This window comes from Homo sapiens, chromosome 5 (assembly GCF_000001405.40).
Source record: "Homo sapiens chromosome 5, GRCh38.p14 Primary Assembly".
NCBI classification, from domain to species: Eukaryota; Metazoa; Chordata; class Mammalia; order Primates; family Hominidae; genus Homo; species Homo sapiens.
Window position 1 is genome coordinate 128943124 of NC_000005.10, and position 14957 is coordinate 128958080.

Here is a 14957-nt window from a genome sequence, read left to right on the forward strand (position 1 = left end):
TTCTTCAAAGCTGTCAGACAGGGACATTTAATTCTGCAGAGGTTATTGCTGTCTTTTGTTTGTCTGGGCCCTGCACCCAGAGGTGGAGCCTACAGAGGCAGGCAGGCTGTCTTCAGCTGTGGTGGGCTCCACCCAGTTCGAACTTCCCGGATGCTTTGTTTACCTACTCAAGCCTCCGCAATGGCGGGCGCCCCTCCCCCAGCCTTGCTGCTGCCTTGCAGTTTGATCTCAGACTGCTGTGCTAGCAATGAGCCAGGCTCTGTGGGCGTAGGACCCTCTGAGCCATGTGCGGGATATAATCTCCTGGTGTGCCATTTGTTAAGCCGGTTGGAAAAGCACAGTATTAGGGTGGGAGTGACCCGATTTTCCAGGTGCCGTCTGTCACCCCTTTCTTTGACTAGGAAAGGGAATTCCCTGACCCCTTGCACTTTCCAGGTGAGATGATGCCTCACCCTGCTTCGGCTCATGCATGGTGGGCTGCACCCACTGTCCTGCACCCACTGTCCGGCACTCCCCAGTGAGATGAACCCGGTACCTAAGTTGGAAAGCAGAAATCACTCATCTTCTGCATCGCTCACACTGGGAACTGTAGATGGGAGCTGTTCCTATTCGGCCATCTTGGCTCCACCCCCAGTTTCCTGACTTTTTAATGATTGCCATTCTAACTGGCGATGGTATCTCATTGTGGTTCTGATTTGGATTTCTCTGATGACCAGTGATGATGAGCACTTTTTCATGTGTCTGTTGGCTGCATAAATGTCTTCTTTTGAGAATTGTCTTTTCATATCCTTTGCCCACTTTTTGATGGGGTTGTTTGATTTTTTCTTGAAAATTTGTTTAAGTTCTTTGTAGATTCTGGATATTAGCCCTTTGTCAGATGGGTAGATTGTAAAAATTTTCTCCCATTCTGTAGGTTGCCTGTTCACTCTGATGGTAGTTTCTTTTGGTGTGCAGAAGCTCTTTAGTTTAATTAGATACCATTTGTCAATTTTGGCTTTTGTTGCCATTGCTTTTGGTGTTTTTGTCCTGAAGTCCTTGCCCATGTCTATGTCCTGAATGATATTGCCTAGGTTTTCTTCTAGGGTTTTTATGGTTTTAGGTCTAACATTTAAGTCTTTAATCCATCTTGAATTAATTTTTGTATGAGGTGTAAGGAAGGATCCAGTTTCAGCTTTCTACTTATGGCTAGCCAGTTTTCCCAGCACCATTTATTAAATAGGGAATCATTCCCCAGTTCTTGTTTTTGACTGGTTTGTCAAAGATCTGATGGCTGTCGATGTGTGGTATTATATCTGAGGGCTCTGTTATGTTCCATTGGTCTATATCTCTGTTTTGGTACAAGTACAATGCTGTTTTGGTTGCTGTTGCCCTGTAGTATAGTTTGAAGTCAGGTAGTGTGGTGCCTCCAGCTTTGTTCTTTTTGCTTAGGATTGTCATGACAATGTGGGCTCTTTTTTAGTTCCCTATGAACTTTAAAATAGTTTTTTTCAAATTCTGTGAAGAAAGTCATTGGCAGCTTGGTGGGGATGGCATTGAATCTATAAATTACCTTGGGCAGTATGGCCATTTTCATGATATTGATTCTTCCTACCCATGGGCATGGAATGTTCTTCCATTTGTGTCCTCTTTTATTTCATTGAGTAGTGGTTTGTAGTTCTCCTTGAAGAGGTCCTTCACATCCCTTGTAGGTTGGATTCTGAGGTATTTTATTGTCTTTGAAGCAATTGTGAATGGGAGATCACTCATGATTTGGCTCTCTGTTTGTCTGTTATTGGTGTATAGGAATGCTTGTGATTTTTGCACATTGATTTTGTATCCTGAGACTTTGCTAAAGTTGCCTATCAGCTTAAGGAGATTTTGGGCTGAGACGATGGGGTTTTCTAAATATACAGTCATGTCATCTGCAAACAGGGACAATTTGACTTCCTCTTTTCCTAATTGAATACTCTTTATTTCTTTCTCTTGCCTGATTGCCCTGGCCAGAACTTCCAAAACTATGTTGAATAGGAGTGGTGAAAGAGGGCATCCCTGTCTTGTGCCAGTTTTCAAAGGGAATGTTTCCAGTTTTTGCTCATTCAGTATGATATTATCTATGTGTTTGTCATAAATAGCTCTTATTATTTTGAGACACGTTCTATCAATACCTAGTTTATCGAGAGTTTTTAGCATAAAGGGCTGTTGAATTTTGTCAAAGGCCTTTTCTGCATCTGTTTGGATATTTATGTGGTTTCTGTCATTGGTTCTGTTTATGTGATGGATTACATTTATTGATTTGTGTATGTTGAACCAGCCTCACATCCCAGGGATGAAGCCGACTTTATCATGGTGGATACCTTTTTGATGTGCTGCTCGATTCAGTTTGCCAGTATTTTATTGAGGATTTTTGCATCGATGTTTTTCAGGGATATTGGTCTAAAATTCTCTTTTTTTGTTGTGTCTCTGCCAGGCTTTGGTATCAGGATGATGCTGGCCTCATAAAATGAGTTAGGGAGGATTCCTTCTTTTTCTATTGATTGGAATAGTTTCAGAAGGAATGGTACCAGCTCCTCTTTGTACCTCTGGTAGAATTCGATTGTGAACCCATCTGGTCCTGCACTTTTTTTGGTTGGTAGGCTATTAATTATTGCCTCAATTTCAGAGCCTGTTACTGGTCTATTCAGAGATTCAACTTCTTCCTGGTTTAGTCTTGGGAGGGTGTATATGTCCAGGAATTTATCCATTTCTTCTAGATTTTCTAGTTTATTTGTGTAAAGGTATTTAAGTATTCTCTGATGGTCATTTGTATTTCTCTGGGATTGGTGATGGTATCCCCTTTATCATTTTTTATTGCATCTATTTGATTCTTCTCTCTTTTCTACTTTATTACTCTTGCTGGTGATCTGTCTGTCAATTTTGTTGATCTTTTCAAAAAACCAGCTCCTGGATTCATAGATTTTTTTGAAGTGTTTTTTGTGTCTCTATTTCCTTCAGTTCTGCTCTGGTCTTAGTTATTTCTTGCCTTCCGCTAGCTTTTGAATGTGTTTACTCTTGCTTCTCTAGTTCTTTTAATTGTGATCTTAGGGTTGCGATTTTAGATCTTTCGTGCTTTCTCTTTTGGACATTTAGTGCATGGCATGAGTACTACGTGACGCATGCACAAGCTTCAGTAGCTGATTCGATCAAGTGGAAGAAAGGGTATCAGTGATTGAAGGTCAAATGAATGAAATAAAGTGAGAGGAGAAGTTTAGAGAAAAAAGAGTAAAAAGAAACCAACAAAGCCTCCAAGAAATATGGGACTATGTAAAAAGACCAAATCTACGTTTGATTGGTGTACATGAAAGTGACAGGGAGAATGGAACCAAGTTGGAAAACACTCTTCAGGATATTATCCAGGAGGACTTCTCCTACCTAGCCAGGCAGGCCAACATTCAAATTCAGGAAATACATAGAACACCACAAAGATACTCCTTGAGAAGAGCAACTCCAAGACACGTAATAGTCAGATTCACCAAGGTTGAAATGAAGGAAAAAATGTTTCGGGCAGCCAGAGAGAAAGGTCGGGTTACCCACAAAGGGAAGCCCATCAGACTAACAGTGGATCTCTCGCCAGAAACTCTACAAGCCAGAAGAGAGTGAGGGCCAATATTCAACATTCTTAAAGAAAAGAATTTTCAACCCAGAATTTCATATCCAGCCAAACTAAGCTTCATTACTGAAGGGAAATTAAATTCTTTACAGACAAGGAAATGCGGAGAGATTTTGTCACCACCAGGCCTGCCTTACAAGAGCTCCTGAAGGAAGCACTAAACACGGAAAGGAACAACCAGTATCAGCCACTGCAGAAACATGCCAAATTGTAAAGATCATCGATGCTGGGAAGAAACTGCATCAACTAACTGCCAAAATAAATTACAGGCATGTGCCACCAAATCTGGCTAATTTTTTGTATTTTTAGTAGAGATGGGTTTCTCCATGTTGGTCAGGCTGGTCACGAACAGTGTAGCATCTTTAAATCTCTCGCTGACTATGGCTTTCTTGTATCCCTCTTTCATGTAAAAGAAACAGTGAGATTGATTACATTGGGTCCACCTGGATAATCCAGAATAATCTCCCTATCCCCAGATCCTTAAAACATATCCGCAAGTGCTTTTTTTCCATTTAAATAACATATTCATAGGCTCTGAGTTTCTGAATGCCCCAAAAGTGGGCGAATTGTTGGGCCGTTATTCTGCCTGTCACAGTAGATAATACTATCAACAAATTTATGCCAAAAACTCAGACAATTTAAATAAAATGGATAAATTCATTCAAAAAACAGCTAAAGCACACTGAAGAAGAAATAGATCATCTAAATAACCTTATATATATTAAAGACATTGGACATGTAGTTATAAAACTTCTGACAAATAAAAGTCCAGGCCAAGATCATTTCCCTGATTAATTTTACTATTTAAGGAAGAAAATAATACCTAGTCTACAAAAATTCTTCCAGAAAATTGTAGAGTAAATCATGCTTTCTACCTCTTTCTATGAGGGAAGTATTACCCTAATACCAAAACCAGATGAAAACACTTCAAGGAAAGAAAGAAGTGACCAGTATTGCTCATGGACAAAGGTTAAAAAAGAAAAAAAAAAAGGCCTAACAGAATGTTACCAAATAAAATCAAACAATATATAAAAAGGGTAATATATCCTGACAAAGTGATATTTATCCTATGAGTGCAAGGTTTGTTTTTACCCTTAAAAATTAATGAATATAATTCACTTTTTTTTGTTTGTTGTTGAGACAGGATCTCACTCTGTCACCCAGGCTGGAGTGCAGTGGTACAATCTTGGCTCACTGCAACCTCCGCCTCTCTAGCCCAAGTGATCTTCCCACCTCAGCCTCTATTGCAACTACAGATGTGCGCCATTACCCAACATTTTTTTTTTTTTTTGGTATTTTTTGTAGAGATGAAGTTCTCACTATGTTGCGAGGGCTGGTCTTGAACTTCTGGGCTCAAGCAATCTGCCTGCCTCAGCCTCGCAAAGTGTTGGCATTAACAGGCATGATCCACCACAGCCGATCCACAGTATTTTTAGATTGAAAAAGAAATGTCATGTGATCATCTTACCAGATGCAGAAAAAAAAATCTCTTGGTAAAACCGAACATCCATTCCAAATAAAAACTCTCATCAAACTAGATGAGAACTTCCATTCCAAATAAAAACTCTCATCAAACACTGATGAGAACTTCCTCAACGTGATTCAAAGTACCTATTAAAATATCTACATTTAACATTACACTTAATGGTGAAAGAATGAATGCTATCTCCCTAATATCAGGAATAAGGGAAGGGTGTCCACTCTCACCAGTTTTTTTTTTTTTTTTTTTTTTTTTTGAGACGGAGTCTCGCTTTGTCACCCAGGCCGGACTGCGGACTGCAGTGGCGCAATCTCGGCTCACTGCAAGCTCCGCTTCCCGGGTTCACGTCATTCTCCTGCCTCAGCCTCCCGAGTAGCTGGGACTACAGGCGCCCGCCACCGCGCCCGGCTAATTTTTTGTATTTTTAGTAGAGACGGGGTTTCACCTTGTTAGCCAGGATGGTCTCGATCTCCTGACCTCATGATCCACCCGCCTCGGCCTCCCAAAGTGCTGGGATTACAGGCGTGAGCCACCGCGCCCGGCCCACTCTCACCAGTTTTATTCAACATTGTACTGTAAGTTTTTGCTAACACATTAAGAAAAAAACCAGAAATAATAAAGGCATTCAAATTTGAAATGAAGAAGTAAATCTTATTCATTAGTGGCATGATCATATACATAAAAAGTCCTGTGGAGTGTGCAAAAAGTTAATATAGTTAATAAGTGAGGTTAGCAACTGTTCTAGGATACAAGAACAACTTAGAGAAATCAATTATTTTTTATACTAGCAAAGAAAAATCAGATATTGAATTTTTTAAAACATTACTTATATTAGTATCAGGAATATGAAATGCTTATATATCACCTTGACAAAACCTGGACAAAACAGAGGTACACTAAAAACTAGAAAAATTATTGATAGAAATTAAAGAGAACTGAATAAAGGAGAGATATATTGTGTTCCTGGATTGAAAGATTAACATTGGTAAGATGTAAATTATTCCTTAACTGATTTATAGATCAAATGAGTTCTGAATAAAAATTTTCCTAGGTTCTTTTTCTTTTGGTAGAAATTGACGAAATGATTCTAAAAAGAAAATGCAAATGCAAAGGACACACACACACAAAAACAACTTTAAAAAATAAATTTAACATTGGAGGACTAATGATACCTAACTTCAAAACTTATTAGAAAGCTTGAGAAATGAGGACACTGAAAAAATGATGTACAGGCAGACAGATCAATGGAACAAAATAGCACAAAGATAGAGCCAAAAATGTAGAACAACTGATTTTTTACAAAATTGCAAAAGAAATTCTTTGTAGAATGTAGAGCTTTGCAAAAAATGGTGCTGAAATAATTAGATATCCATATGTAAAAAAATTTACATCCATACCTTGTACCATATAAAAATTAACTCAAAATGGAGCCTAGATAAAAATTTAAGACCTAAAACTATTAGTCGTCTAGAAAAAAGCATAAGAGAAAACCTGTGACTTTCAATTAGACAAAGTCCTTTTAAATAGGATATAAAAAGCATGAGCCATAAAAGAAAAAATACTTAATAAATAAAACAATTAAAATGAAGAACTTATGCCCTTTGAAAGACAATCGTAAGAGAATATTTTTTTAAAAGCCACAGACTTGGAGAAAATATTTGCAAATCACATGTTGACTTTCTAGGGGCCAAGGAGGGCCCTCTGAAGATTCACTGAAAAATCTACTTGCAAAAGGCAGACTAACTGGAGAACAGGTGCATATGAACCAGATATGGTCATTCACATCTGCAGTCTCAGCTACTGGGGAGGGTGAGGCGAGAGCATGGCTTGAGCCCAGGAAATTGAGGCTGCAGTGAGTTATAATAGTGCCACTGTACTTCAGCCTGGGCAAAAGAGCGAGGCTCCATCTCTTAAGGAAAAAAAAACAAAAGGCATACAAATTTATTTAATGTGTGTATACAGGAGCCTTCAGAATGCAGGCCCAAAGATACAGGAGAATCATTGATTTTTATTCTTAGATTGAACAAAGTATGAACAACCATGTAGAAATATGATTAGACAAAACAGGTATGATGTAATGCTAATGGACCGAGTGAGGAAACCCAGCCAATCCTGTCTGTCTAGATTTTTCTTGGCCTCTCTGTGCAGCATTCCTTCCTTCCAGGTATGGGGCAGGACCTTCTCTGGAATGGGGTCTTAGGCTCTACAGTCAAACAAGACAGGTCAGGTAATTTCTTTATGGCCAGATCTTACACAGAAACATAAAGGGAAAATTAGAGTAATAATTTTAGGTTTTATGGCTGGCTGTAAGGAAAAGGAGTCCTGGTTTCTATAAACTGCCTTCACGAAGAGGGATTCTAGTTTCGATGGCTAGCCTTAGGGGGAAATGGAGCTGAGAGACAGGAAGGAAGGGAAAGGTCAAAGAAAAATCTTTCCTTCTGAGGCTGCTTTTGAGGGCTTCATTTTGGGGTATTGTTTTCTGAGCCCCAACAACTATTATCCAATATATTTTCAAAAACTCTCAAAACTCAATAAGAAAACAATAAAAACCCAATACAAAAATAGATCAATGATTTAAGCAGACATTCACCAAGGAAGATATATGATAGTAAATATGCACTTTAAAAGTAGCTCAAGATTATTACTTATTAGGAAAACAAAAATTGATAGCTCAATTAGATATTACAACCCAGATATTAGAATGTCTCAAGTGAAAAAGAATTAACATTCCAAGTGTTGGTGAAGTAGAGCAACTAGAACTGCTGGTGGGACTGAAAAACTGAATACTTTGGAAAACATTTTGGAAGTTTCTTCAAAAGTTAAATATAACCTTACCCTATAACCCAGCCATTCTACCCTAGAGTTTTTATCCAAGAGAATCAAACGCACATGCCTAGGCAAAGATGTGTACTGTAATATTCATAGCAACTTGATTTGTTTTTTGTGGTTGTTGTTGATTTTTGAGATGGAGTCTCACTCTTGTCACCCAGGCTGGAGTGCAGTGGCTCAATCTCAGCTCACTGCAACTTCCGCCTCCCGCGTTCAAGCAATCCTCATGCCTCAGCCTCCCAAGTTGCTGGGATTACAGGCACCCACCACCATGCCCGACTAATTTTTGTATTTTTAATTGAGACAGTGTTTTACCATGTTGGTCAGGCTGGTCTCAAACTCCTGACCTCAAGTGATCTGCCCGCCTTGGCCTCCCAAAGTGCTGGAATTACAGGCATGAGGCACCGCGTCTGTCCATAGCAACTTTATGTGTAATAGGCAAACTGGGAAATGACTCAAATGCCATTGAAACGTGAACCGATAGATAAATTATGGTGTATCCATTCAATGGAATATGACTTAGCAATGTAAAGAAATAAACTCATTCTACAGTTACAACATAGATGAATCTAAAAATAAATATGCTGAGCCAAAGAAGCCAGACCAAGTAAAAGGAGGAGTACATATTATATGATTCATTTATATGGAAATCTAGAACATGCAAACTAATCTATAGTGACAGAAAGCACTGTCAGGATTTGCTTAGTAACAAGGTGGAACAGATGTGTCAGAGAGGGATTTTAAAGTGAGGAAACTTCAGGAGGTGATGGATACATCCATTATCTTGATTGTGGTGATTGGTTCATATGCATGTACATATATCAAAACTAAACTATACACTTTCAATATGTGTAGTTTTTATATTATTATAATATATGTAAAACATCTCAATAAAGTTGTTAAAAAAACAGAACATTTATAAGAAATTTAGTAATATAAAGAACACATGTTATTAGTAATAATATTTCTTATTAGATATTAAATATTAAAATATAAATACATGCCTATATATGCTAATTCTGATTTATTTACCTTGTCATACATTTAAAACAAACAAATAAAAGTAATCTGTATACTACTGTGAATGCTTCTGTGGTAGATACTCCTGTATCTGTATGTTGATGAATCTCTATTTTCGATCTAGTAAAAAAGTGTAAATTTTTCTGCAAAATCTTCTGTAATCCAGGTCTGCAAAGAAGCCACACAGGGCTGGGTGCAGTGGCTCATGCTTGTAATCCTAGCACTTTGTGAGGCCGAGGTGGGTGGATCTCTTAAGTCCAGGAGTTTAAGACCAGCCTGGGCAGCATGGTAAAACCCTGTCTCTACAAAAATACAAAAAATACAAAAACTAGCCAGGTGTGGTGGCCCACGCCTGTAGTCCCAGCTATTCAGGAGGCTGAGGTAGGAGGATCACCTGAGCCCAGGGAAGCAGAGGTACTAGTGAGCTGAGATCTTGGCACTGCACTCCAGCCTGGGTGACTGAATGATGAGGGCACATCAGAAAACAATCTTCCAGCTTTGCTAAAAGCAGAAAATAAACTACTGAAGCAGGTGAGACAGTAAGTGGGTGGATTACCTTCAAGCCTGTTGCTTTAAATAAATCAGAAATCATAGTAAAGAAGTAATTTGTCCATTTCAACCCCTTTGTTCTATCTTCTAAAACCTATTGAGCTCATCTAATAATCCTCAAATGCATTATTAAATAATTAAGAAGTTTTGAGGAAAAAAAATCCTTGTGAAGACTTGTCAATCCCTTTCTTATCCTACCTCCACAATGAGTCTACATAATCTGTAAGCTTATCCCACCCTTCTCCTAATTCAACATGAGAAAATATGCGAAGCATCATGCCTCTGATGAAAAATGGGATATTTGGAAAGTTTCTATTTTGCTAAATGAGTTCCCTACCTTCTACATCTTCTGCTCCACCATCTACCCTTGTCTCTGCGCTGTCCCTCCTGCTCTATATAGACACATGCACACGTATGTTTATTGCGGCACTATTCACAATAGCAAAGACTTGGAACCAACCCAAATGTCAAACAATGATAGACTGGGTTAAGAAAATGGCACATACACACCATGGAATACTATGCAGCCATAAAAAATGATGAGTTCATGTCCTTTGTAGGGACATGGATGAAGCTGGAAACCATCATTCTCAGCAAAATATCGCAAGGACAAAAAACCAAACACCGCATATTCTCACTCATAGGTGGGAATTGAACAATGAGAACACATGGACACAGGAAGGGGAACATCACCCACCGGGACTGTTGTGGGGTGGGGGAGGGGGGAGGGGGGAGGGATAGCATTAGGAGATAAACCTAATGCTAAATGACGAGTTAATGGGTGCAGCACACCAACATGGCACATGTATACATATGTAACAAACCTGCACATTGTGCACATGTACCCTAAAACTTAAAGTATCATAATAATAAAATTAAAAAAGAGACAATAATCCAGATTAGGCCTTTTGTAATCTTTCTGTGAGTTCAGAAGTTAATTGTAAAGAGTTGACAGGTTTTTCTTGTTGAAAAACATCAGACATTCCTTGTGTGTAACCATTAGGTTTTCATTTGATATTACATAAGGCAGCTTATGGACCTTATTGATTTAATGAGCCAAAATGTATGTGCCTCGTAAAGCAAGTCAGGACATACATTTTTATAACAGTTTGGAGAACAACATATCTTTGAAGCATGTGGCCTGGATTTTGAGGCCACATTGCTACCGTATCTCTCATCTCTGAGAAACTCTATTTGTTTAGTTTAGCTTTTGTTTTAAATGTGTTTTCCTAATTTGCTATTTAATATAAACAGGAAATTTAGTACTGCAAGGAGCATAAAACTGATATGGATTTTGAATTACATAATTTCATGTCAAATAAAACAAAATTTACATTCTATAGGCATGAAACACTTAATGGCATTAGGATATAGAACAAAAACCTTTACAATAGGTAACTTTAGTTAACTTGTACATATTTGTGAGAACATCTTATATATTTCCTAGTATTTCCTACTTTCCCTTATTGAAAAGTAATCTTATTAGAGACTTCTTTTTCAGTTGCCCAATATCCTCATACACTGATGCAGTACATGCCAATAGTACAACCAATACAAAGGGGAAATTGTCAAATCCAGAAAATTCACAGATACGTTTACCGTTTGAAACAGCAATCCCATTTCTAAGAAGCTATCTTAAAGTTACAGCTAGAAAAGTATGTAACATGTCCCAACTCATTAATTGTAACACTATTTGTAATGGCAAAAAAATGGAAGCAAGTCTAAATGTCTATCAGTAGGGAGGGAGTTGAATAAGTTATTATATTATCCCACAGTGAAGTATATGCAACCATATGTAAAATGAAGAGGATGTCTGCATAATGATAGGTTGTGATCATCAGGATCCATTAAGTGAAAAAGGCAAGGTGCAGATCACTGTATATAGCAAGCTATGTTTTGTAAAATAAAAAAGAGAAAAATGTAAATATGTATGTATTTCTTGTATTTGCAGAAAGAAATATTGGAAGAGTGAACTGAAAGCAAAAATTACTACTATAAATGCACTGGCAATAAGGGTGAAAGGGTTAAGATGAAAGCCAAATTTTTTGAGTATATATATATATATAACTTAATGTTTTACATATTTAGAATATAATACATAGTTTAAAACAACATTAAAAAGCACTTGTCAATTACAGAAACAAATGTTGCAGGAAGTCTTCACTTTGCAAGTTGATTGTTGAGGAAAGAATTGACTCTTCAACTCAGTTTATTGTATAAACTGTATATAAGAATAATCATATGGTTCTTGTTAATAAAATAAAGCTCTTTTTGGAGAAAAATGTCAGCTAGTAGGATCATTTTTCAACTCTATGAAATAATTGACAGGCAATCAATGGGCAATCACTAATGGATACTAAAATAATTGAGTGAAAGATTGATAGAAAACTGAACATTCACACAGGGTCCAAGTACCCCTTCCTGGTACTTGTGCAGTAGCACACCAAAAGAGGAAAAACAACCAAACGTGATCACTTGAAACCTGTAGTCAGGTTTCATCATCAATAGCAATGTGTTGTCCAATTCACAACAAGCAGGTATTAGGTTTATCCTGATGTAATATGACATAAAGTACACAGCATGACATAAAGTACACAGCATCACCTATGAAGTATTCTTGCCAAAATGTTTAACCTGAGTTTCATGAAGATTTTAAGTCTAATTATCAGTTTACATGAAATTAAACATGGTAATTAGACAGCATATTTTAGGGGCAATTAGGGGACATAAGAACACATTAAACGAGAGCAGGGAGAAGCAGTCAGACCAATGCAGAAGGTGGGACACTCTACAAGATCTGTGGCCTGTTCTAACAAGTAAATTTCTGACAAAGATAAAGAGGTTGTGATAGGAAATCAATTCTAGTTTAGACAAACAAACTCTATAATACATTATGAAAAAATTAAATGTGGACTAAATATTAGATGGTATTAAAGAATTATTAATTTTATCAGGATTGATCATGGTATTGTGATTAGGTAGGAAAATGTCTTTTTGTCAGAGATGCACCCTGAGATATTCAGGGGAGAAATGCCATGTCGTCTACAATTTATTTAAAATATCTAAAAATAAACGGATAAGAATTTGAATATGATACTAACAATCATTAAACCTGTGTGATGAGCATATTGAGGGGGTGGGTCAAAATTTTATTCTTTCTACCATTATGTATGTTTCTAATTTTTTATTTAACGAAAAACTAAAAATTAAAATTGAAACAAAGAAACAGCAATTGGCTATGACTTTCCTGGGCCCATTTTCCCTTCCTGATGGCCAGGAGAGAGCGAGAGCTGAAGCAGCTGCCTTGAATTTATAAGCAGAAACCTCCAGTTGGCAGAGCGGTGCCAGCCCTGGGCCACCAGCGCTAAATCACCAAATCACCTGCCTACCCAGGGAAAGATAATTATTATAATCAAGTCATTGAAAAAACATTTTTAAAAAATTGTGTTGTAACATTTCAGAATATATTGAGATGGGATTTCCACTGTACATCTCAGAAGTCCCACTCTCCCCTCATACACCTTCGAGACTAAATCTTAGGCCTTCTGAGACATGCAAGAGTGGGAGCACATGGAAAGACTCACTGCAACACTGGAGCATTGTTAATTCCTAACAACAGTTGCCAGAGAGTTTCTTTGATTTACCTCACTAATGATGAAATGAAGTTCCTCCATGTAGGTGGCTTATAAAATAGAAAGGAAGCTGGCTTGAGGACTCAGTGTCCTCAATTATTTATTTACATAAATATCTTTTCCAAACAGTAAATTTTGTCAACACTGAGAAAGGAGAATTGTAATAACCAGAAGTATGTGGATATAAGACAGCTGTTTTTTTTAAAAAAACAACACGAATAAAAAACGTGTGAAATATCTTCTTGGCAGGGTCCTGAGTGCCATAAATTTCTAGGCATAGTTTGTAATAAGTGGTAGAAATGATAGTTAAATATTTCATTTGTTTGGAAACTGTTCTTAATTCTATCATTATAGGACCATTTATTTGGTGCTATAAAATTTTTATATTTTAAGAAGCGTTTGATGTGTCTGACATGTAGTAAACAGCACCCAATTCTCAAACAGCACACCTCTTATTTTTTTTTAATTATACTTTAAGTTCTAGGGTACATGTGCACAATGTGCAGGTTTGTTACATCTGTATACATGTGCCATGTTGGTGTGCTGCACCCATTAACTCGTCACTTACATTAGGTATATTTCCTAATGCTATCCCTCCCCCCACCCACACCCCACTACAGGCCCCAGTGTGTGATGTTCCCCACCCTGTGTCCAAGTGTTCTCATTGTTCAGCTCCCACCTATGAGTGAGAACATGCGGTGTTTGGTTTTCTGTCCTTGCGATAGTTTGCTAAGAATGATGGTTTCCAATCATCCATGTCCCTACAAAGGAAATGAACTCATCTTCTTTTATGGCTGCATAGTATTCCATGGTGTATATGTGCCACATTTTCTTAATCCAGTCTATCATTGTTGGACATTTGGGTTGGTTCCAAGTCTTTGCTATTGTGAATAGTGCCACAATAAACATACGCGTGCATGTGTCTTTATAGCAGCATGATATATAATCCTTTGGGTATATACCCAGTAATGGGATGGCTGGGTCAAATGGTATTTCTAGTTCTAGATCCCTGAGGAATCGCCACACTGACTTCCACAATGGTTGAACTAGTTTACAGTCCCACCAACAGTGTCAAAGTATTCCTATTTCTCCACATCCTCTCCAGCACCAGTTGTTTCCTGACTTTTTAATGATCGCCATTCTAACTGGTGTGAGATGGTATCTCATTGTGGTTTTGATTTGCATTTCTCTGATGGCCAGTGATGATGAGCATTTTTTAATATGTTTTTTGGCTGCATAAATGTCTTCTTTGGAGAAGTGTCTGTTCATATCCTTTGCCCACTTGTCGATGGGGTTGTTTGATTTTTTTCTTGTAAATTTCTTTAAGTTCTTTGTAGATTCTAGATATTAGCCGTTTGTCAGATGGGTAGATTGTAAAAATTTTCTCCAATTCTGTAGGTTGCCTGTTCACTCTTATGGAAGTTTCTTTTGCTGTGCAGAAGCTCTTTAGTTTAATTAGATCCCATTTGTCAATTTTGGCTTTTGTTGCCATTGCTTTTGGTGTTTTAGACATGAAGTCCTTGCCCATGCCTCTGTCCTGAATGGTATTGCCTAGGTTTTCTTCTAGGGTTTTTATGGTTTTAGGTCTAACATTTAAGTCTTTAATCCATCTTGAATTAATTTTTGTATAAGGTGTAAGGAAGACATCTGGTTTCAGCTTTCTACTTAGGGCTAGCCAGTTTTCCTAGCACCATTAATTAAATAGGGGATCCTTTCCCCATTTCTTGTTTTCATCAGGTTTGTCAAAGATCAGATGGTTGTAGATGTGTGGTATTATTTCTGAGGGCTCTGTTATGTTTCATTGGTCTATATGTCTGTTTTG